The sequence below is a fragment of the Homo sapiens genome, chromosome 9, assembly GCF_000001405.40.
Source record: "Homo sapiens chromosome 9, GRCh38.p14 Primary Assembly".
NCBI classification, from domain to species: domain Eukaryota; kingdom Metazoa; phylum Chordata; class Mammalia; order Primates; family Hominidae; genus Homo; species Homo sapiens.
This window is the reverse complement of record NC_000009.12, coordinates 120,441,835-120,465,871: the sequence shown is the minus strand read 5'-3', so window position 1 is coordinate 120,465,871 and position 24,037 is coordinate 120,441,835. Positions and strand designations below refer to the sequence as shown.

General features: G+C 42.6%; 1 protein-coding gene across 18 annotated transcripts in view; it reads left to right on the top strand.

Annotated features, from left to right (window-relative positions):
- CDK5RAP2 (CDK5 regulatory subunit associated protein 2) overlaps window positions 1–24,037 on the top strand; it is a 191,293-nt gene that overhangs the window by 114,296 nt on the left and 52,960 nt on the right. For 6 of the 18 annotated variants that reach the window (NR_073555.2, XM_047423587.1, NM_001410994.1 and 3 more), the window contains 5 exons: window positions 5,205–5,300; window positions 7,250–7,422; window positions 11,999–12,416; window positions 17,746–17,977; window positions 22,130–22,252. Coding sequence is in view for 13 of the 18 variants with exons in the window: in XM_047423587.1 (XP_047279543.1) it covers window positions 5,205–5,300; window positions 7,250–7,422; window positions 11,999–12,416; window positions 17,746–17,977; window positions 22,130–22,252 (1,042 nt within the window). In the remaining 5 variants the exon portion in view is untranslated. Of the gene's footprint in view, window positions 1–5,124; window positions 5,301–7,249; window positions 7,423–11,998; window positions 12,417–17,745; window positions 17,978–22,129; window positions 22,253–24,037 lie in introns of those variants that run through there. The other 12 variants (NR_073558.2, NR_073556.2, NR_073554.2 and 9 more) reach the window with 4 other exon arrangements.

Below are 24,037 nucleotides of genomic sequence, written 5' to 3'. Positions count from 1 at the left end.
CCATTATGTCATAGCATCTCATTCCTTCTTATGAATGTGCTGAAACTTAACTGCCTCACTGCTGTTGGACATGTAGGTTATTTCTAGTGATTTGCCATTTTTAATTTCCTAATGAATGTCTTTGGACACAAATCTTTTTCTGTGTTTAGAGGTTTTTTTTTTTTTCCTTAGAGTTGATTCCCAGATATGTGTCATTAGTAGGCCAAAGGACAGATAGAAATATGCAATAGGCATAAAATTTATTTTCATTTATTTATTTATTTTCCCCCTCCCCCCAACAACTTTTAATGTGTAAAAGACTGTAAGTAGTTTGAAGGCCCTGATAGAGTTTGTCAGATTTCTTTCTAAGATGCTGGCCCTGGTGTAGAGCCTCACCAGCTGGGTACCACGGTGCTCAGTTCCTGCCTGTTGGTAGTTCACGTAGACACCACCAAACAAACAGAACACCAAGAACAGGTATCCTGTTGTTGCTGTGTACATTTAAAAAAATCTCTAATGAGGTTGCACCTATTTTCTCATATTTATTTGCTGGTTTTTCATGCATTATAGGAGAATTAGGTTGAAAATCGATATAGAGGAGTGATTTCAGCAGAGTGTAGTCAGGACGGTGAGCATAGAAAGCCAGGAACTGTATAACTTGTGGACCTGCCCTCTGATTATAGGCTCTGTGTAAAGAAAGCATGTGGCACAGGTCCTGGCACACTGCAAAGGCTCGAAAGGGTTAGTCACTATTATTATTTACTTATATTGTCATTATTAAGAATGGTTAGAAAACTCACTTTTTTTTGACGTAGAGAGGAAACCTGGACAAAGGGGCATAGTTTAATTGAACTCAAATATTTGTAGGGCTGTCATGTTGACAAGAAATAGACCTTATGTGACTCTAAAGGACAGAAATGGTTGTCAGAAGTAGAAGGTGCTTGTTAAATATTCTGTTAATAGTAAGAACAAACCTGGTTTGTCAGAGCAGATTTCATTTAAAGGAGGAACTTTCTAACAATTTGACTTCATACGTTATTATGAGATTTACATGATTTATAAAGCCCTTGGCATAGTTCTGGCATATGGTATGCACTCAGTAAAACAGCTATTTTAATTTTTTTTTTTGGTATGCTAGTGGCGGAGATGGGACTATAACCCTCTTCTGACTCTGTGTAGAATTGTTTAGCAACACCATAGGGCAGTGCTTCTGAAGTTTAATGTGCACATATATTTCCTGAGAGTCTTGTTAAAATGCAGATTCTTGTCCAGTAAGCCTGGAATGGGGCCAGAGAGTCTGTATTTCTAACAAATTTGGGTGATGATGCTTCTGCTGCCCTAAGGAATACACTTTGAGTAGCAAGACCAGAGGTAATCCTGAAAACGACTTGTTTCTAGGTCTCGTTTTGAAAAAAGTCTTTATTCATTTGTTTATTTGTTCAGCAGTGTTATTGAGCGTCAGGCATTGATGTTAAAACTATGAGCACACATGTCCCCGCCCTGTCTAGGATGTAATCCAGAGAAGCAGAGGGGCAATTGGGGCAGAGTGTGGTGAGGGCTGTGATGGAGTGAATGCAGAGTCTCAAGGGAGTTGTAGACAGGTGCCCAGCCCTCACTTTGGGGATTAAGGGAAGTTCTCCCTGGAGGAGGAAGAGGAGCTGCCAAGCAGATGAAGAAAGAATAGCTCAAGAGGCAGGGGGAGAGGCAGTAGAGTGCAGAGTAACAGCGTGGGGTTTCAAGGAGGGAGTGTTTCATAGTGTCGAACACTCTGAGAAGCAAGAAAGAAAAAAGTACTGAGAACTTCCTATGAGTCCCATGACCTGAGCAGTTTCATTAGAGTGAGGGGGACAGAAGCCAGCTTGCAGGGGATAGAGAAGTGATGAGAAGTGATGAAATGAGGATAGAGCCAGTTGACACTTGGAGGTTGCTTCTTTAGTGGTGGTAGGGCTGGAAGCCGAGCCAGGTATAGTGACTCAGTTCTTTCTGACATCTTAGTTCTGGATCTTTGAAAATGAGTAAATAGCATGCAGCATGAAGTATGTTTCTCTATGTCCATAACATTTAATTTCTTGACCATTCCTGGAAACCGAGAGTTTACTTTTAATCTTGACCACGTCAGCAGAGGTAAAGAGAAATGAAAGTTAATTTTTATTTAACTGTGTCAAGCATTGGCATGGTTGTGGTTCTGGAAATGCAGAATAACTTTGACGCTTTTCATATTTCAACTTGGAATGATGTGTTAACAATACTTTCTTTGCTCAGCTAAGCTTAGAGGAAACCCTTCTCAGATCCGCAGGAGTCTGGGAGGAGCTTCTCCGTGCCTCTTTCCTAACCCCATGTGGATTTCATCTCTCATTAATACAACAAGGTCTTTGGGGACCTTTCCTGGGCAGTAAAGCCACATTGCAGAAGGTGAGAATAGACCCCTTGCAGAAGCTTGGAGAGAGGCAGAGAATACTGAGTGGCCAGAGCTGTTGGGGAATCAGGGGGAGACTTTCGTTGTTGTTGTTGTTTTGTTTTTTGAGATGGAGTCTCCCTCTGTCACCCAGGCTGGAGTGCAGTGGCGCGATCTCAGCTCACTGCAAGCTCCGCCTCCCGGGTTCATGCCAGTCTCCTGTCTCAGCTTCCCAAGTAGCTGGGACTACAGGCGCCCGCCACCATGCCCAGCTAATTTTTTTAATTTTTAGTAGAGACAAGATTTCACCATGTTAGCCAGGATGGTCTCGATCTCCTGACTTCGTGATCTGCCCACCTCAGCCTCCCAAAGTGCTGGGATTACAGGTGTGAGCCACCGTGCCTGGCCCTGTTTTGTTTTGTTTTTTAAAAGATGGGAAAGACTTTCTCCTAATATTTTATTATGAAAAAATTCAGACACAGTGAATACCCATATACTCACCACCTAGGTTCTATTCACATTTCCCACCTGCCCATCATCACTCTGTCTCATCTTTCTAATAAATTTTAATTGAAACTGCAAACATCAGTATACTTCCCCCAAGTACTTCAATGTGCATATCTTCAATAAATGCTTATAGTCAAATGAACTATAGAAATTGTAAGCCTGCGTTCACTAAGTTTTACAAGTGTATGTGCCTGTGTAAGGCAAACCCCTATCAAGAGCCTGCATGTCCTCTGTTGTCCATACCCAGTCCCACCCCAGCTGCTCTTCTGATTTTGTCCCACTATGGGTTAATTTTGCCTAGACCTTCATATAAATGGAGTCATACAGTATATTCTCTTTTGTATATATTCTTTTACTCAGCATTATGTTTTTGAGATTCATCCATGTGGTTAGTGCATCAAGTTTGTTCCTTTTTATTGCCAGGTAGTATTCCATTGCATGAGTGTATTACAGTTGTTTATTCATTCTGCTATTAATGGACACTTGGGTAAAAGGTGATATGGGCATTCATGTACAATTCTTTGTTGGGACACACTTTTTTTTTTTTTTTAATTTGATGAGTACCTATGAGTAGAATTCCTGAGTCATAGGATTACTCGTTTTATAAGAAATTGCCAATACTTTTTCCAAACATTTTATATTCCCACCAACAAGTTTGATAGTTCCAGTTAGTCTTTATCACTCGAGAATGTTATGGTAATGAGGGAAGAAGCCAAAAGACAAAGAGGGTTCCTTACCCATATTTATAGACTTTTATGCTTCAGTAGGTATATTTATGCACGTCTAGTCTGTTTCATGCTGGATAATATAGTAGGATGTGGTTTTTGATCATCACTTCTGTTTGATCCTGATTGCAGATTTGGATATGGTCAGATTGAACATGTTCTGACCCTGGGAAGTTTCTATAAAAACTGAACTCAGTTGCCTTTGTTTTGTTTTTCTTCCACAACAAGGTTGTTCCTCTGAAAGGAAAAACAGAGAGTTGGGCTGGAGAGCTATGGGGATAATTGACTAAATGTAGGGATTCAGAAATAAAACTTGAGCTAGAACCGTAGGTATCTCACACGTACAACATGCCCAACAAATGACCCAATACTCTGTGGTTTCAGCACCTTCGGTGCAGACTCTTTTGTTTTGTTTTTGCTTTCGAGACAGGGTCTTACTCTGTTGCCCAGGCTGGAGTGCAGTGGTGTGATCACGGCTCACTGCAGCCTCGACCTCCCTGGGCTCAGGTGATCCTCCTGCCTCAGTCTCCCGAGTAGCTGGGACTACAGGCATGTACCACCACACCCGGCGAATTTTTGTGTTTTTTGTAGAGACAGGTGTCTCACTCTGTTGCCCTGACTGGTCTTGAACTGCTGGACTCAAGCAATCTGCCTGCCTAGGGCTCCCAAAGTGCTAGGATTACAGGTGTGAGCCACCGCACCTGGCCAGACTCTTTTATTGGTCAGATAAGGTTTGGTATAATTTTGACATAGCTTTGATTGATTCCTTATCCGGGAGTGGCTGGCCACCTTTTCTCTCATTTTTAATTTGGTTAATTCAGGTGCCCCATGACTAGAATTTTTGCTTTTGCGGAGAGCTGAGAACTGGCTTTCTTGAGAACTTTGTACCGTCCATTTTGTAGAACTCAGAAGCTTTGGGATTTACACTTCTTTGAAGCATTAGGGATTTATGCAGTCTTTATAAATAACTGTCCTTCATTTCCAAAAGCATAAAGTTATCGTCACGCAAGCGTGATACTCTTCTCATTAGAGATGAGGAATTTCTGTCAGCAAAATGACAGTGTTGCCAGGACTGTCCATCTCAGATGTGTGACAGTCCAACAAGAAGAGGTTTATGCCTTGCGCTAAATAGAAGTGATGCATAAATTGGGCACACCATAAATTTCATTTATTACTTTCTTGCTGTTTGATATTTTCAATTCCATCAATAGCTATTTTCCAAAATCTTGTTACTTTTATATAATCTGAAAGTGAATTTAGTAAAGGCAGGAGTGGCAGTGGCATAATAGACGGCATTTTTAATTTACGGCAGCTCAGGAAAGGCCATGCAAGGGCAAGGGGCAATGCCTTTAGTTATTTTCTTGGGGAATTTGTCCTTAAATTATGCTTGATCCAGGCAGCTGTGTCTGATTCGCCACAACTAGCAACTCTAACCTTGGTTAATTTTTATTTCATGGCTTTGGCATTTGTTTCTTCCTCTTTTTTGTTTGCTTTTTGTTTTGCATTAAAAAAAAAAAGACATCACTGACTTATTCATACATATTCATGCTGCACACTTTTTTGGGTTGCATTTTCACACCATTCCATGCTCCATGTAGCTTCTGGCTAGCAAGGAGGACGAGGACACGATCAAAATTGGGGAGGATGACGAGATTAATTTCCTGAGTGACCAGCATTTGCAGCAGAGTAATGAGGTAGGAACCTTTCAGTTAACTCCTTATTTCATCTACTCCACTCTATGTCCAAATCAGTCTTCGAGTCTGGAATGAGTCCAGTGGGTTTTCTGTTCATTCTGCCTATATCCTGTACCTTTCATGTGCCAGTGGAAAGCAAAGACTAGGTCTTTTCCTTCTTATAAGTTATAAACTGGGTGACAGAGCCAGTCATGAAACATGAAAACGAGCATAAACTTGCAAATAAAAATGGGCTTGTTATAGTAGAATAGCAGGCATTGGATGTTTGACCTGGACAAATCTTTAGTGATGTAATCCAACCCATTTTATGAATTAGAAACTGAAGGCTTTGAGGACTGATGATTTATTTGGGGCACAGAGTAAGTTAGTGATAGAGTTGGGATAAGAACCCTTGTTTCTGGACTGTGTAAACTACCAGATCATTTAGTTGAGGTGTAAAGACCTACTGATGGAACTTAGCTCCCCTTCCTAGGGGCCCTCTGCAATCTCCTCATCTGGAACCCACGTTACTGTCATTTGGGCATTGTGAGAATCTCACCCCCGTACACATAGAGCACTCTTCCAATCACATTGATACTGAACATGTGGAGCAAGCAGTCTCCAACCCTCTAATTCATAAAATAAGTAGGAGACTCCAAGCAGTCTCCAAGGTTGAAAGAACCCTAGAGACTGGGATGTGGTGGGGGTAAGATGCTACAGATTTGGCATTTTTGGCCTTCAGGGTGTTCAAGTTTGTGGAGTCACAAATGGGAGATCTTAAAATGTAGATAGTTTTAGAAAGCAAAGTAATTAAAAGTGGGGGCTTTGCAACCAGATCAACCTCATTCAAAGTCTTAGCTTTGGCACTACTATCTCTGTGACCTTGGTTAATTAGTGCTTAACCTCTAAGCCTGAGTTTCCTTGTCAATGAGGATAGTAATACTTCCTTTTAGGATTATGATATTTAAATAGAAAGGCATGTAATAAGTGCTCAGTAAATAATAATTATTTTTATTATTCTAGACATTTCCTTCTTTGGAGGTTGCTTATTAGTTGGATTTAATAACTAGATTGGTGGCAAAGAAGACCCTATAAGTAACAACTCATTTGTGTAGGTCTTGTCTTCCATTTAAAAATCTTAATCATTTCACCAGTATGGAGAGATGGGGGTGATGGCTAGTGTGTATATCACCAGCAGTAATGAAGTCAAGAGGAGTTATTTATAGACTGGTAGAAGAAATTTACAGCTTTGGATAGGGGAGAAAGAATGTTAATTGCAGCACCTCAAAGACATGCCCAGTACAGGCTTTAACTAGATGCATCTTTGATACCACTCCTCTGGGACCCTCAGTGATCCAAGAAGGTGGATCGGTAAATAACATCTCCATGGGAATTAGGAACTCTCTATCTTCCTAATGTGAAAGATCAAAGCCATGTTAAATAATATGTGTCTGAAAAGAGTAAGTCAGCTTTGTGATATATAATAAGGAGGATACATTGCAAGAAGAATATAATAAGCACTCAAATCACAACATGGGTTCCATACTCTTCTTAGGAAGAACTTTCAAGGATTGGGCTGTAAGGGTGGGAGAACACATTTCCATTGTGCACCTGTAGTGAGTAAGACATGTCACCTGAGGTGGTCTCATTTCATTCTCCTAACCACCTCGGGAGGTACCATTACTACCCCCATTTTATAGGTGAGGAAACAGGGTGAGGAGAAGTGATGTAAACATCTCTATCCTGTTTCTAGAACATCTCCCTGTGTTAAAGTGAGTATGTATGCACCTGCATGCCTGTGTCTCTCTCTCTTCCTCCTTCTCCTCCCCCTTTTCTTTTCTGTTTCTCTCTGGCTCAGTGTGTCTGGCTTATTTTCACTTACTCACTTACCCTGCATCTCCATCCTCTCTCCACACACCCCATTCCCTTCCTCCTTATTCCATTATTTGACCAAATACTTTTATTTGCAGATTATGAAAGACCTTTCCAAAGGAGGCTGCAAAAATGGATACTTAAGGCACACGGAGTCTAAGATTTCAGATTGTGATGGGGCCCACGCACCTGGCTGCCTAGAAGAAGGTGCATTCATAAACCTGCTTGCCCCTTTGTTCAATGAGAAGGCCACATTATTACTGGAATCCAGGTATACATGGGGCCCAGGCATTCCTTTGTTTCTCTAGTTCTAGGGGAGAACAAACTCATTTTGCTAAATGGGTTTAGATGATCGTGCTGTGTAATTTACCTGAGAGAGCTCCTGAAATGGCTTGGAAGGAATCTTGCCAGTCATGAAATTAAGTAATTAGGCTGCATGCTAGTGGCTGTGAGGGGACGTCAGCAAAGCCTCATGTAAGCCCATTATAAAGAGGAGAAAGAAAGCTTTCTTTGGGAATTATTCCTGGGAGCCCCCAGAAAGGACTGCCTTGCTGTCAGCGAGAGGAATCAGCCCTACCGAAATATCTTCCAGTTTCGACAACAGCTTAAAAAATACCATTGTAGTTGTGATTCTGCTGTTTTTGCTGAGCTTGAATTAAAGTTCTCTTCTCATTATATCTGTTGGGAGCCATTCCTATGTGAGGAGATACTACAGGTTGTTTTCCTTAAAACAAAAAAGGAGAAACATTCAGTACATTTGTATTTTTTCAATTAATCCTTTAGGAGTAATTTTTGCCCCTTTCATATTCTTCCTAGTCCATCCATAACAGCTGCTTGGGCTTTGGAACCAAAAAGAGCTGTGGTTTTATCTCTCAGTGCCTCAGTTTCTCTGATTACTTCTTAGGGTTGCTGTGATGAATAAGAAAAAAACGTTTAAGAAAAATGGCTGGCATTTGGTGTGATGCGTGTTCAATAACAGTTTTTAGTTCTCCTCCTGAATGGATAGAGAAATGGAACGGTAATGATTGCCCATGACTCTTGATAAGAGCCAGGAACCCTAGTATTTCTTCTATCATTGATGGACTAAGCCTTACAGGCATTTCTTCAGCTAAAAAACGGGATTGAAGCATTCTGTTTTTGTGAGCTCAGCAAAGCTAACTCCTCCCCAATCCCTGACATCTGTCCAATATTTTTCTAGCTTGAGTCTTCTTGGAAGACATGGTCAGTGGCAATTCTGGCTTATTATCAGAAGTAGTTAGGTGACCGTAGTAGTTGGTGCTTGAGAAATGGAGGATTTCCTAAACATCAGGGTCCCAAATTTTACTTCAGAGTTAAAAGACACTTTTTGTCTGAGGGCCATGTGGGAATGTACTTGGGTGATGTGAACCAGGGAGAGTGCAGTGGGCTGTGGTAGGAGCGTGGTGAACTGGGCGGTCAGGGGGAATGCTCCCTTCTGGCAACGGAAGCATTTCAGCCCCAGCCAATGGTTGGGAGTCAGAAAGGTCTGGAATCTCATCTTTGCTCTGACACTTGGTTGGGGGATCCTGAACCTTTATGAGCCCATTTCTTCATCTGTAAAATGGGTTTTTAAAAAATCCCCCTCTCACAGTCTTATTGTGAGGATTCAGTGTATTTAGAGGATTTGGCACATGGTAAGTGCTTAGGAAATGTGAGTTCCTCTCCCCTTATACCTTCTTCATGGCACAGATGCCCAGGAAGGGGATATAAACGATATTTGGGCTCTGAGAAGTCTCTTGGACTGAACCGTAGAAAAGGTTCTGCTTATAGTGATAGCTTAATGAATCTGCTGTTCAGATTTCTAGCAAAATAACACTTGAAGTATTTTATTTAGTAGCACCACCACTTTAGTATATTATAATGGCCTCTTTCACCACCTTTTACTACCCATTTGTAAAGTATTTTTCCTCAGTTTTATTGTGTTGTTTGGTGGTGAGTAATGGTCCTCCTTTGGCTAGCCAAATAACAATTGTCATTACTTTTTAATCTATGTTAAAGAGGCGGAGGGAAGGAAAATTTAGTTTAACATCTCCTGAAGCTTGAAATGCCAGAAATATTTTAAAAGTCTGGGTTTACTATAGTTTGAGATTGTTTCTGTTGTCTAGGTAATTTCACATTAGAGGTGAAAAATGTACCATACATGTAAATTTTGTTGTTAACCCCATTTTGGTGTGCTATAGCTATTTAAATGGAGTTGACTCTGCCCCCATCTAGATAATAGAAATCTGGATATGCAGAGGGCCTTCTCTCTCCCCTCAGAGGGCTCAGTGGGAAAGACAACACAGGGGTGCCTGTCATTGCCAGTGGCAGCAAAGATCGGAGGGAGGGAAGTTCGGAGTATGTTAAAGGAGTTGTAGAGTACAGCCTGACTGTTTCACCAGGTTTCTAGAAATAGAGCAGGTAGTAGAAACCGAAGTGAGAAGGAAAAAGAACTAACACCAATGAGGACCTTCTGTCCCCTGCTCTTTGCTGACTGCCACCACCTCACCCAGACCTGCATTTTCTTTCTCCCAGGAGTTAGCCACAGCTTTCCAGCTGGTCTCTCCTCTCTACTTCCCCCATTTATTTTCCCATAATTTTCTGTCCCAGTTTCATAACTCCCTCTTATGAATTTTTTTCCCTTTATTTTTTAGATGATTTAAACATACTTATTTAAAAATCTTCTTCAGATTGCTTTATTGTTTCTATTTCCTCAATTGTGAATTCTCTCATTTGTTAAGTTGTTGTCTTTTTAACAGCCCTTTTCTTGCAGCTGTGGGTTTTCTCCTGTTTTTGATCTTTGGATACTTTTATCTTGATTTTGAGCCCTATAGTGTACCTTACACTATTTTTTAGGTGTGCATATTTTGCAGTCATTCCTCTGTGATTAGACCAGCATGAGGGGAGCTCCTTGTGTGCAAGGCCTCTCCGTCCATTCTCTATGCAGCAGCAGCCAGAGTCACCTTTCTTGATTTTTTTTTTTTTTTGACACAAGGTTTGGCTCTGTTGCCCAGGCTGTAGTGCAGTGGTGTGATCTCAGTTCACTGCAGCCTCCTGGGTTCAAGCCGTCCTCCCACCTCAGCCTCCCGAGTAGCTGGGACTACAGTCACATGCCATCATCCCTGGCTAATTTTTTGTATTTTTTTGTAGAGATAGGGTTTCACCATGTTGCCCAGTCTGGTCTCGAATTTGTGAGCTCAAACTATCTGCCTGCCCTGGCCTCCCAAAGTGCTAGGATTATAGGCATGAACCATGATGCCTGGCCTGGAGTCACCTTTCTGAAGCACGTGTGTGCCTGGCCCAGTCCATCGCAGGGCCTTTCAGTGGCCTTCGTTTTTTTTTTTTTTTTTTTTAACGTGTTGTACAGGACTCTTCGTTTCTTCCCTGCTCATCTTTCCAGCCTCACCCCTTCTTGGCTACTTGACTCTGTTCACGTTGTTTTCCATGCTTAGACTGTTCCATTTCCTCTCCTCGAGGCTTGCCTCTCACTGATGTTAGAAGCCCTCCGCTGTTGTTCTCCCTGCCACCCCCAGTCTGGGGCACTCTGGGATGGTTGCCCTGTAACCCTCATAGTTTGTTTACGTATGTTTCTCTAAAACCAGTCCATGTCCTCCTGGGACAGTTTTGTATCCCCAGTGCCCACTGCAGTGCCCAGCACAAGAAACACACAAGGGGCTCTTCTTGAGTTACTCCACCCGAGCACCATTCCAGGTGTTTTACATGCTGGCTTAGTTTTGCTTCCCTGGAAAGCAGAGCCTGAGATATGGATTAGAGTGTAAGGGATTTATTTGGGATTTGACATCAGGGAGCAGGAATGAGGGCTCAGGGAGAGTAAGACAGGAATGAAAGCAAAGTCAATAAGGGTGCAATAATGATCTGGTTACTGCTGGGGACCCTCTGAGGGACTGTATATACTGTGCCTGTGTGGTCCGTCTGAAGGATGGGAGACTGGGACATTTACCCAACAGCTGTCTTCTCTCACTGGTTGAGAGTTTCCCCAGAAATGGAAACTGTTTCACACTTCCACACTGCTTTACTGGCTTGCTCACAGAGCTTTGGAAAAAGCCCCAAGGCAGCAGAGACGTAGAGGGTGTTTGAGGTGGGACTATGTCTATGGGAACTGTCCACACAGCCGCAGCTGAAGTCAGAGGTGGGCCAAGGGTATGTGGCAAGGACATGAAAAGCATCTGCTGCCTATACACTATCTTGTTTAATCCTCATAGCTGTCTTGTGGAGGAATACTTATCTTCTTTTCAGAGAATTGTAGAGTTAGAATATGAAGGGATTTGTATCCATCTTCAGAGCCAATGCGCTTTCTACTCTGCCTGTGTACAAATATCCCTTCATTAACACCTCTTTATTAAGCACCCATTGTGTACCAAGATGGATTAGGTCATCGATGGACCAGCCAGGTTGGCCAGATTCATCTAAAGCCATACTTGCCCCTGGATGTAGAAATGGGGCCAGGGCCAGGAGGTTGGCTGGCGGGGTAGAGTCAGGGAGGACCCTGTAATTGTCATGGTCACCTTATAATCCCGTTTGTTTCTACCTGGGCCCAGCCTGCATTCACATATTTATGTGGCCCACTCACTTGCTGTGTACCTTGTGTTAAATTAATTCTATTCTTCTTATCCATGAAATGACATGGTAGTACCTGCTTTGTTTGGGTGCCGTGAGGTTACACAGGATAAAATACTGGATGTGGGCCCTGGCACGTTGTGGGTACACACTGTATTTAGTTTTGATGGAATCTGGGCAACAGTAGGTGGGGATAACTTGGGATACTGGCTAGGGGACAAGGCCTAGCAGAAAGCTTGGTTCTCCCACTTCCTTCCCTTTTGGAAAAACAGGCCAGACCTTCTGAAAGTGGTACGGGAACTGCTTCTGGGACAACTATTCTTGACAGAGCAGGAAGTTTCTGGAGAACACCTTGATGGTAAAACTGAGAAGACACCTAAGCAAAAAGGTGAACTTGTACATTTTGTCCAAACCAACTCATTTTCCAAGCCACATGATGAACTGAAGTTGTCTTGTGAGGCCCAGCTAGTAAAGGCAGGCGAAGTGCCCAAGGTAGGACTGAAAGATGCCTCAGTGCAGACTGTGGCCACGGAGGGCGACCTGCTGAGATTCAAGCATGAAGCAACAAGAGAGGCTTGGGAAGAGAAACCGATCAACACTGCACTCAGCGCAGAGCATCGGCCAGAGAACCTGCACGGGGTGCCTGGGTGGCAGGCTGCCCTCCTTTCCCTCCCTGGTATTACCAACAGAGTAAGTTTTTCCATGTAATAATTATGTACTTACTTTATCCAAACAAAAAACTTTAAAAATCACCTTTAATCTCACCACTTTTTTCCCATTTATATGACAAGAATGTCCAGTGTCTCCCTCTGCTTGCACTTACCCTGGCCTCCACCCAGAGCTGCATGTCCTCACTGACCTTCCCCTGCCTCTCCTTCCCCTCACTCCCTCTGTCTCTCTTCCTCCATCTCAGCCCTATCTAATTTATCTATATATTGTGACATTTATGTGTTTTCCTTAGAAAAAACACACGTGAGGTCTTGTTTATACATCTGTCTATCTGTCTGTAGCTGTCTCTTTCATGTTATGAGGAACATCTTTCCTTGTAATGGCTACATAAGGTTGCATTGTGGAGATGTCCCAAAATTTATACAGTTTTCATTGTATTGATGAACATTTGCTTTTGCAGGTTGCAGTCAAATTGTCATAACCTGACTTTAGGGGTAGGGATGAGAACCTAGGTTTTATCTTGTGCAGACTTTGTGTAGGAGAGGTATTATTCTGAGGGCTTCATCTATATTCTTTTATCCTGACAACACTCATCAAAGATCTGGAAGCCACACCCCATGTTCCCGTTGTTAACCGGTGGTTAAGGGGCTGAGCTGGGACTCCCACTGTACCTGACTGCACAGCCACACCCTTTCCCTGGATCAGGCTACCTTCCAACCCGGGTTTGTTGAGTGAATGTTTGCATGTTGATTTTCCTTCAGCTTAGATACTGTCTCTAAGCTCTGCACATCCTATCAAGTATGCCAGATTGTTAAAACCAGATTCTTTTGGCAATGTTTCATTGGACCCTTATGAAAATCCTCTTGAGGTCACGGCTTGACCCCCCCACGGCCAAGAATCCCTATAGAAGGGAGATGTGTTCTGGGAGAGAAGGAAATAGGTCGTGTTTCTAATAGTGGTTCAGTGAAGGCTGTTGATATTCTTGTTTCTGATGGGTGTTTTGTATTTGAGAAATCAACTGTACACACTGCTTTATAGCATCAGAATGGAGAATTAAGTTTATTTTCTGACCACTAAATTACTGCTTTTGCGCATACAAAAGAGAGTTAGATATATCATTAGCAAAATTGCTTTTGATTGTTTTAAATTATGCACCAAAACTGTAATTTCTAGAAAAGAGTTTTCTAAAGATATCAGTAGAGACCAGAGAGAGAGAGAGAGAGAGAGAGAGAGAGAGACTGCCATTATATTAACGGTACTAGAAATGCAAATTTGTGCAATTTGGCTATAATAGAAATGCTCTCATCTGCCCCAGCTCCTTCAATTTGTACCTGTATATCAGGAAAACTAGGTGTCTTTTGTTTGTTTGTTTTTTTTGTTTGAATTTTTCATTGTGTGAGAGATGTTATTCTGTGTTCAGGAAAACTGGAGAATTGAATGGACTTAATTTCCCCAAATATATTAAAATATGTATTTTTTTAGTTTGAAATTATTCCTCTTGCTATGTCTTCAAAAGGAAGGAAACCGTATTTGTTTATTATTATTTTTAGTATCTATTAGGGATTGTGCTAGATACTCTCTGTTTGTCTGTATATATATTATATATATAATATATAATATATATAATCTCATTTAATATTCTCAACAAGAGTATGAATTTGGTAGGTATTACCTACATTTTACTTATGAAGAAATATAGGCTCTTAAAAGGCTCAGAAAACTGTCCAGAGTGATTTAGCTGGTAAGTGGAGTGACAGGGATATAAACTAAAGTCTGGTTTTAAATGCAGACAGGGATATTATAAACCTGCCTTTCTCTGGGAGAGAAGAGCCCTCCAATCACCACCATGGCCTCCAGTCTATGCAAAGTAGAAGGAAATTTAATGATATTTTTTGTGGTCTTTGGTAGTTAAGGAGTTGATAATCCTATGGCTTACCTCTTTTAATAGGATACTCTGATATCCTGTTAAAAGGAACATCACTGCAGCCCGAGGGTGAGACAAGGAGACCAGATATCCTTACAGTTGTTTAGTTATAGAAACACGGAGACCAAGTATCCTTTCAATTGTTTAGTTACAGACAAGAGGATGGACTTTACTGATATACATGTGTTTGCATCCGGCCTGGCCACTTACCTGCTTTGAGCCTTTGGCAAGTGTCTAGTACAGTACCTTGTACATGGTAGGAGCTCAGACTGTGTGAGTTCCTGTTTCCCTTCCATTCCCAAGGAAGAAATTCCAATGTGACATCTTCAATAATGTGGTAGGTGGGACTCTGTTTAGAGTCCATAAGGTAGCATTTTGTGTGGTGTTATTTTAGAACAAGCATTAGGTTGACTGACGGCAGTCTTCCAGCTTGAAATTGGCTTTGGCATTTGTGCACTTGCAGATATGTTTTCTGCTGCCATATGACACACAGATTTGGATCCAGGAATAAAGATTGGTGGAGACTGAGGACGAAGCAAATGATTGTTATTTTCCAGCCCTCTTTGCTGAGGCATCCACCTCCTCCCACGTGGTCTCCTTTTGCCACCTCAAACTGTTCTTATCCTTGAACCTGCTCTCTCCTCTTACCTGGAATTTCAGAGCAGAAAGCATCTCACTTTTCCGAACTGAGCAGTGGACCCTGAAGAGCTAGTCTGAGGTCTGACTCTTGAACCTTCTTGCACTGTGACATTGGACTAGTTGTTTGACATCTCGGTTCTTCATCTGGAAAGTAAGAATGATAATGTCTCTTATCCTGTGAGTTCTGGGAATGCAGAGTTTACTTCTGGATTATGGGAAAGTGTGCTTGAAAGCATTTTATATCCTAGAATGTTCAAGAAGGGGCCCTTACTCTTCTTTCCTTCTTAAGAGACCTCAGTGATCTCATTTCTTGGGTCCCAAATATTTTCTGTTTTCCTCTTGGGTTCCTTCTCCTCTGCTATTTAAAAACTTTAAAAAAAACACAGCCTTATTGAGATTTAATTCACATGTCATACAGTGCATCCCTTTAAGGTATACAATTCAGTGGGTTTTTTTTTAGTCTATTCACAGAGTTGGACAACAATTTTAAACATTTTCATCATCCCAAAAGAAACCTTGTACTCATTAACAGTCATTTCCCATTTCCCCTGAACTTGCCCACCCCAGCCCTAGGCAACCACGAATCTACTTTGTGTCTCTTTCAATTTGCCTATTCTGGATTATTTCATATAAATGGAATCATGTCATATGTGGTTTTTGGTGACTGGCTTCTTCCACTTAGCATACTGTTTTTGAGGTTCATTCACGTTGTAGCATGTATCAGTACTTCATTTATTTTTATTGCCAAACAGTATTCCATAGTATATCCATGTGGATATGCCACATTCATTAGTTGATGCACATTTGAGCTGTTTCCACTTTTGGTTATTAGAAATAATGTTGCTATTCATGTACAAATTTTGGGGGTGATAATGTTTTTATTTCTCTTGAGTATATACCTAGGAGTAGAATTGATGGGTAAGATGGTAACTCTATGTTTAATCTTTTTGAGGAACTGCCAGACTGTTTTCTAAAGTGCCTGTACCCTCTTTACATTCTCACCAGCAGTGTGTGAGGGTTCCAATTTCTCCGCTTCATCAACACTTGTTGTTGTCCTTTGATTATAGCCATTCTAATAGGTATGAAGTAGTGGTATTTTATTGTGATTTGATTTACATTTTCCTTGGTGACTAATGATGTTGAGCATCTTTTCACATGCTTATTGGCCATACACATATCTCCTTTGGAGAAGTGACTATCAGAGTTTTTGCTCATCTTTTAATTGGATTATTTGTTTTTATTATTGAGTCGTAGTATTTCTTTAAATATAGCCTGGATTTAAGTCCCTCTTCCCAGCTTTTGAATGTTTAAAATTCCCCAGTTGGAAGAGACCCCCATTTGGCCTCTTAAGTTATTGTTTATATGTTCATTCCACAAATAGTTGTTGAGTACCTACTGTGTACTAGTTCTTATGCTAGAAGCTATACAGAGAGTATGGCCAAGATATGCAAAGCCTCTTAACCCTGGAGCTTACAGGTTGGTGCAGAAGATAGACAAGGAACAGATAATTGCACAGGCATTTAATTAAAATGATACTAAGGTTCTCTGAGGGGATATGTAGGGGACAGTGAGTGTCTAATAGGGAGCCCTGCCTTGGTCTTGGAAATCAAGTCCCATTTTCCTGAGGAAGGCCCATTTGAGTTGAGTTTTAATGAATGCTATTTAGAGTTAGTCGGGGAAGTAGGAAGGAGTAAGTGTTCTGGGCAAAGGAGTCGGCATATGCTAAGGTCCTGAGGTAGAAGGAAGGCATTTTGAGGAACCAAGGTCATTGTTGCTGAAGAGCAGGGTGAAGTGGAAGGGGGTATAACTCAGGCTGTAGGTCCTGCAGGACTTTGTAGGCTGTGGTATGGATGTTGACCTTTGTCTTGATAGAACTGGAAAGCAATTAAAATAGTTTTAGGCAGAAGAGAGGAGTAGTAGGTTTGTCTTTTTGCTGTAGCGTGGACAGTGGCTTAGAGAGGGCAAAAGTAAATGTGTGGAGACCACCCAGGAGACTGTTGCCATGACTTAGGTGAGAACTAACAGCATCTTGGAGTTGAGTGGTAGCAGTGGAGGATGAGAAGAGTTGAAAGAATGGAGAGACAGCCTGGGAGTTATAATTAATGGACCCTGATGAGTAGTGAAAGTGGGTGGCAAGAATAAAGGGAAACTTAAAAATCATTGCCATGGTTCTAGATTGTGTAGTAAATGGATAGTCATGTGATTCACCAAGACAGAGATTGTTGAAGTGGCGTAGATTTGCAGCGGAGACACGGGGTGATGGAGCTGAAGAGTAGAATTTTCAGTTGACTCTGTAGTGCCCGTAAGTCACTACAAATGAAGATGTCTGGGAGTTCTGAGCCTGGGAAATATCCGCTGGGTTGGCAACTTAGTAGCCACCAAAGTAAGGGGTGGTTCTGGGGGACTAGCAGGGGTTGATAGGCCAGACCAGATTAGACTGAGGAATGTTTGGGAAACAAGGAAATAGATAAGGAGCAAAATAACATTTCCCAGAAGATCAGGTTGGAAGAAGAACTGCCATTTATGGAGTGTCTGGATTGTCCAGAGAGACGATAGGCCAGGGCCAGGAGGGTGGCGAGGAGAAGCTTGGCTCTTGATGATCAGAGGAGGGACCTGCCAAGATACAAGCTCCTTGGCTGGTGGATAAGCATAGCTGCCATTATGGGAACGAGAAGTCTGGGCAGCCAGTTCGAATTCCGTTTTATAAGGCTGGCATGAGAATGTTGACTGTGCAACCAAAGGAAGTGTGTTCAAAGTGTATTCATTGTTGCATATGTGTGTTTTCAGGAGGCTAAGAAGTCCCGCTTGCCAATCCTAATAAAACCATCCCGGTCATTAGGAAATATGTATCGTCTCCCTGCCACCCAGGAGGTGGTGACGCAGCTGCAGAGCCAGATCTTGGAGCTGCAGGGGGAGCTGAAGGAGTTTAAAACTTGTAATAAGCAACTTCACCAAAAGTTAATTCTGGCTGAAGCAGTGATGGAGGGGAGGCCAACGCCCGACAAAACGTTGCTGAATGGTAAGCACCAAGAAAAATGTATTCCCTGTGAGCTAGACAAACGGCTCGATAGAACTGCTTGAAATGTCAACCTTGTTGTTTAGAATTGCAATAAGTTTGAGTATAAATTTCATGAATTGCAGTGATTAATCTTGACTCTTGACAAATGCACAACAGAGGGAACACAATAAGGAGAATGAATCTATTGCTTTCATTTTATTCTGGAGTCTGGATAAAGGGAACTTGCAGTGCTCATAGGTCTGAGGGGGCACTGCTGCCTTCACTAAGGATTGTCCGCAGATGCCCCAGTTGTGTTTGGCTTTGTCTGTGGATGCCTCTGGCGTGTGGCATCAGAGGTATGCAAGTGAGGGTCCACTTTGCAGGGTTCTCTGTAATGTCCAGGCCAACTTGGGGCTAATTCCAAACCTTACTAACCTTGCGTCTTCCTCTAGAAGTAACCCACTTCCCCACCCTCTTTGAACCTGCTGGCTCTGCTCTCCTGGGAGGCAAGACAACAGCCCCTGTGTTAAAATGTACCTGAATAGTTAGGATCCAGAGACTTGGAGGAAGTGTGTCTAGTGGCGTCCTCTAGTCTAGGACAGTGGTGCTTAGAGATTTTGGACCACTAACCCTTTGAGAATCTGAAGAAAGCAGAGGGCCCTCCCACAGAATGATGCAGCTGAGCATATAAGTAGCATTTTACATCATTTTCTCAGGGCTCATGATCCACAAAAGTGCATATGTTGACTCCTAATTTTGAACTTCTGTGAGCAGATGGCAGCAGCACCATAACAAGAACAACAAAAGTAATCTTTTATTTATTTATTCATTTCTTCTGTGTGCCAAGCACTATTCTAGGCACTGAGGAGAGAGGAGTGACCAAAGCAGATGAAGTCTTTGTCTAGCTTACATTCTTGTGTGTGTGTGTAGGGTCGGGGCGAAGACAGAAAGCTGATAAGCATATGTACAACGTGAGAAAATAAATGCCGTGGAAAAGAATGAAGCAGGATTCAAGTGTGGGGAATGTGGAGGAGGGGCAGGATTTGCTTATGTCATGAATGCTAGAGAGCCTCCATGGTGAAGTGGCATTTGAAGGGAGACAGGGGAAATGAGTGCACTAGTCATCTTGGGAAGAAGGAAGAAGGCAAAGGCCCTGGTGCTGCTGTGAACAGGGGAAGATGGATGAATAGTAAGGAGGCTAATTGTGTGACTGGAGTGGAGTGAGGAAGAGGGAGAGTTGTATGTAGAAGATGAGGTCCAGGAGGCAGCAGATCAGGCAGGCTCTCAAAGGCCATTCTAGGACTCTTTTACTTGGTAAGATTGGAAACTTTTGGAGGGTTTTGAGCAGCAGAGTCGTGATTTGACTTAAGCCTTAAAGTGGGAGTTGACAGGCCGAGTGCGGTGTCTCACACATGTAATCCCAGCACTTTGGGAGGCCAAGGCGGGCAGATCACCTGAGGTCAGGAGTTCGAGACCAGCTTGGCCAACGTGGCGAAACCCCATCTCTACTAAAAATACAAAATTAGCCAGGCATGGTGGCGCGTGCCTGTAATCCCAGCTCCTCAGTAGGCTGAAGCAGGGGAATTGCTTGAACCCACGAGGTGGAGGTTGCAGTGAGCAGACACAAGAGCGAAACTCCATCTCAAAAAAAAAAAGTAGGAGTTGACAAACCACAGCCTGTGGGCCAAATCCAGTTCACTTCCTGTTTTTGGAAATAAAATTTTATTGAAACACAGCCACACCCATTTGTTTGCATATTGTCTCTGTTTGCTTTTGTGCTTTGATGGCAGAATTGAGTAGTTACCATAGAGACTCTATGGCCTGCAAAGCCTAAAGTATTTATTATTTGACTTTAAGAAAGGTAGTCCAACCTCTGCTTTAAAGGATCACTTTGGATATGAACCTTTGGAAGGATGGAGTTGTCATTCACTGAGATGAGAAAGACTGAAGACTGCATGAGAGGCAAGCATGAGGGAGACATTAGGGGTCTGGTTTGGACATACTCGAGATGCCTGTTGACCATTCCGGTGGAGATAATTAGATAGGCAATTAAAGACAGATGAGTCTGGAGTCAAGGGTAGAGGTCTGGATTAGAGATACAAAGTTAGGAAATAGCAATATTTTGGTAATATTTGAAGCTATATGACTTGGAGCCATAGCAACCAGGTCCAGGAATTGAAACTGAGGCTCTCTAGTGGTTAAAGGTTGGACCAAGAAGACCAGCCAGTGAGGTAGGAGGGATCCAAGAGAGGGTGACTCCCCAGAAGCTGAGTAAGGAGGGGATTAGCAGTGTCAGATATTGCTATCTGGTAAGACAAGGACTGAGGATTGGCTTTGGGATTTAACAATGTGGAAGTCATTGGTGTACTTGAAGGGAGCTGTTTCCGTGGAGTGGGTGCAGCGTGATTGGCATGGGTTGCAGAGAGAGAATGGAGGAGAGAGATTGGAGACAGCAAGCATGGACAGCCCTGAGGAATTATACCGTAAAGCAATGTAGAGAAGGAAGGCAGTTAGGAGCCACATTGTCACCGAACCTCAAGGGATTCAGTGAATCAGGGGACCATGGATGATTACAGTAAAGTGGGGTCGTTGGTGGTATCTTCTGGAAGCATGAGCTGCAAAAGTGGAATTTTCAGGTAAGAGAGAGAATGATGTAGAAGTGGCAGCGAGGAGCAAAGACACTTACACACTTTGGGCCCATGATATGAGAGCTATGGGAAAGAAATGACCACAACTTTGAAGGCTGCGGGAGAAGCAGTGTCCTTGGGGTCATCCCAAGTTCACTTAGAGTGATGGGGAGAGATGAATGTTCAGAGAGGATATTGATGCTCTTTGGGACTTGCCAACGAAGGAAATGAGTACCAGGGCAGGAGGTTGCATCAGATTAGAGGATTTCCAGAGTGGGTCAGGGATTGGAGATGACTCTGGAGTCTTGGACATACTGTGGTATTAATAAAACAAGCACCTATTATTTACTGAGTCTTGCTATACACTCTAAGTACATGATCTAATTGGGTTCTCTCAACAGTCCTTTGAGGCAGATACAGAAATTACTACCATCTTATAGTTAAGGCAGCAGTTTCAGAGATAAAGTGACTTGGCTACAGTCACACTGTGACTAACTTTTCTAGCTAGGTGGGAATCAGCCTGCCTAATTTCAAAGTCCATGTTCTTTACTGTTTCACAAAGCCTAGTATGTGATACTTCTTGTATGGATTTTATGAAGATCCATAGCCAAAGGTATGTTCCATTTAATTTTAAGTTTTCTTTTGGGTTTACCATAGTTGAGGTTTCCAGATAAGAAGACCTTTGGCAGAATTGCTCTTCCCTTACCACCTCCTTATCTACCTTCTTCTAATCCATTCAACCATCATCCAGACATCTTTTCATTCATTCAGTGAACATTCCCTGAGCACCTGCTATGTTTCCAGCCTCATGCACTGGGGGTAGGAGAGAAATAAATCAGATGCAGTCTCTGCCTTCTGAGAACTCCCCATCTGGTGTGGGCTTGGGGAGGTGGCAGTTAACTAAATCAATACAGGGTTGTGGGGACCTTCATGGAGGAAAGATTTTATGGCAAAGGTAACTCAGCTCAACAGAGGCCCTGGCACTTTGCCCATAGCTTGCCATTTTTTAAAATTCAAATTTAAATTTTTTATATTTTGTAGAGATGGGGGTCTTGCTATATTGCCCAGGCTGGTCTTGAACTCCTGGCCTCAAGTGGCCCCCCTGCCTCGGCCTCCCGAAGTGCTGGGATTATAGGCATGAGCCACCATGCTGGCTCCTAGCTTGCCATTTGCACTCAATACTGTTTTTATTTTTTGCTGAGACACCAGAGTGCCTCAACTCCAGGTGCTACCTCAAACAGTTGCCCAGGAGACCCTAGGGCCTCTCTCTTCTTGGGAAAAATGGGCACGAATTGATAGAATTCATTTTCTCACTCAGCTTTTTGAGAGCCTGGACTTAAACCATTTCAGACAAGCTGCAGTATATTTATGCTTTTTATGTCCTGTTATGGCAGCTCGATAGATTAATTTTATCTTATAAATTGCATTTTGCCTCCCCAGTGTTTTTATTTTCCCTGTTGTATCTTTGTGTTCTTCTCAGTTGCTTGGCTAAGTTTCAGGTCTTACGGTTTTATTTATTTTTCTTTCTCTTTGTGATTGCCTGTAGCTCAGCCCCCTGTGGGAGCAGCCTACCAGGACAGCCCAGGAGAGCAGAAAGGAATTAAAACCACATCTTCTGTCTGGAGAGACAAGGAAATGGACAGTGATCAGCAAAGAAGCTACGAGATTGGTCAGAATTCAGCCCCTGTGTGTATTGAACAGCTTCCATGTGCCAGGCACCATTTGGATGTTTTATCTAAAAATTATTACTAAGCCCATAGCAGCCCTCTCAGGGCATTATTATCATTCCAGTCTAACACATGGGAAGCTGAGGTTTTAAGAAATAATTGACCCAGGGTCACCCAGCTGGTAAGTAGGAGAAGAGTCAAGGTACAGTAGGATGTCAGAACCCACCCGTCCATGTGTCAGCATGCTTCTCTACCAGGCAGTGGGCTGGGTTCTGGTGGTTCAACATGAAAAGACACAGCCTGCTCTTAGGGACCCCACAGCTCGGAGGAGACAATCATCCCAACAGCCTGTTAGTATTCAGCGCGGGGCTGCCTGTTGCTGAGGTGTGCTTGGTGTTGGTCCGTGTGCCCAGGAGGAGTGGGTCAGAAGAGAGCCTGAGGCTGAGACTGGGTTTGTGGGGTTTGCCAGGCAGATCAGTGGAAAAGGTGCAGAGATACGGGTGAGGGCAGAGGCAAGTTGTATTCCTTTCTTTTTAAAATTATGAAGTATTAGAAGCATACATAAGCACAAAAGATAATATAACAAATACTCATGTTCTCATTCAACCAGAATGAACAAATGCCTACATTCTTTTTATGTTAGATATTTTTCCCCCTTCATTAAAAAAAATCACTATTAATCCAGATCTAATTCACTCTGTTAGAAATAATTGTCCTCAAGAATCCTAAATTTGTCATGGGATGGCCATGGGGACACCAGTCTCTGGAAAAATACTGAGTTGTGGTATATACACTGTTGTATACTTTTGCAAGGTCCAGAGTCACTGCAGTGAACACATGGTCACATGCTTCTGCGTGTTCTGGGCTTTGAGGAGAAAGCTACTCTACCAGGCAATAAAGTCCCCCTTAGCTGAATTGTGGAAAGTTGTAGAACTATAGTATTTCTTATAATGCAAATATTCATAAATGGTCTTGGGGACATCTTTTGATTTCTTCTTGATAGTTATTAATACAGACTTCTTAACTAATCGACAGCTTCCCTTTCCCTGTCAGTACTTCCCTTCATTACTGAATGTCTTTCATTTTTCTGAATGTGCTTCCAGAACTTTGTATGTGAATTGCATCTGCCTGAACTTCCACCTTTTAATTGTTGCGCAGCTGAGGCTGGGTGCTGCGTGTGACATCTTCATTGCTGTTTCTTTTTCACAAGGCCCTTGACAGATACTTGGGATGTGAATAAAGGATTTTACAGGCATCTTGGCCTTCACATTGAGGGTTAAGAACTCTCTCTCTCTTTGCTCATGCACCGCGGTACAGGAGATTGGATTGCAGGAGTGTTACTTCGGGAAGCATCATTCAGAGTGTTAGAGGCAGACTGCCAGGCTTTGAGGAGGGGCTCTACTGCTTACCTACCCTGAACCCTAAGCAAATTCTTAAGCTCCCTAAGCCTCAACTTCCTCTTCTGTAAAATGGGGGTACTAGTGATGCCTCATAATTACTTAAGGAAAGTCCTGGGAACTAATCTTTATTTCCATGAGTGAACACGCTTCTTGCCATGAAGTACAGACCAAATTCTATTATCATGAGGTTATTACAGCAAAGATATTTTCTTGTCTTGGAGGGTGATTCACTGGAAAAAAAGCCTTATGGAGAGATATCTCCCTCCCCAGTTCCTCTTTCTCTTTCTTGTTCAGCCAGAAATACTTGGTGAGTACATTCTCTGTCGCAGACCCTGTGCTAGATACTGGAGAAACAGACATGGATGACACGGTCTGCACCCTCAAGGC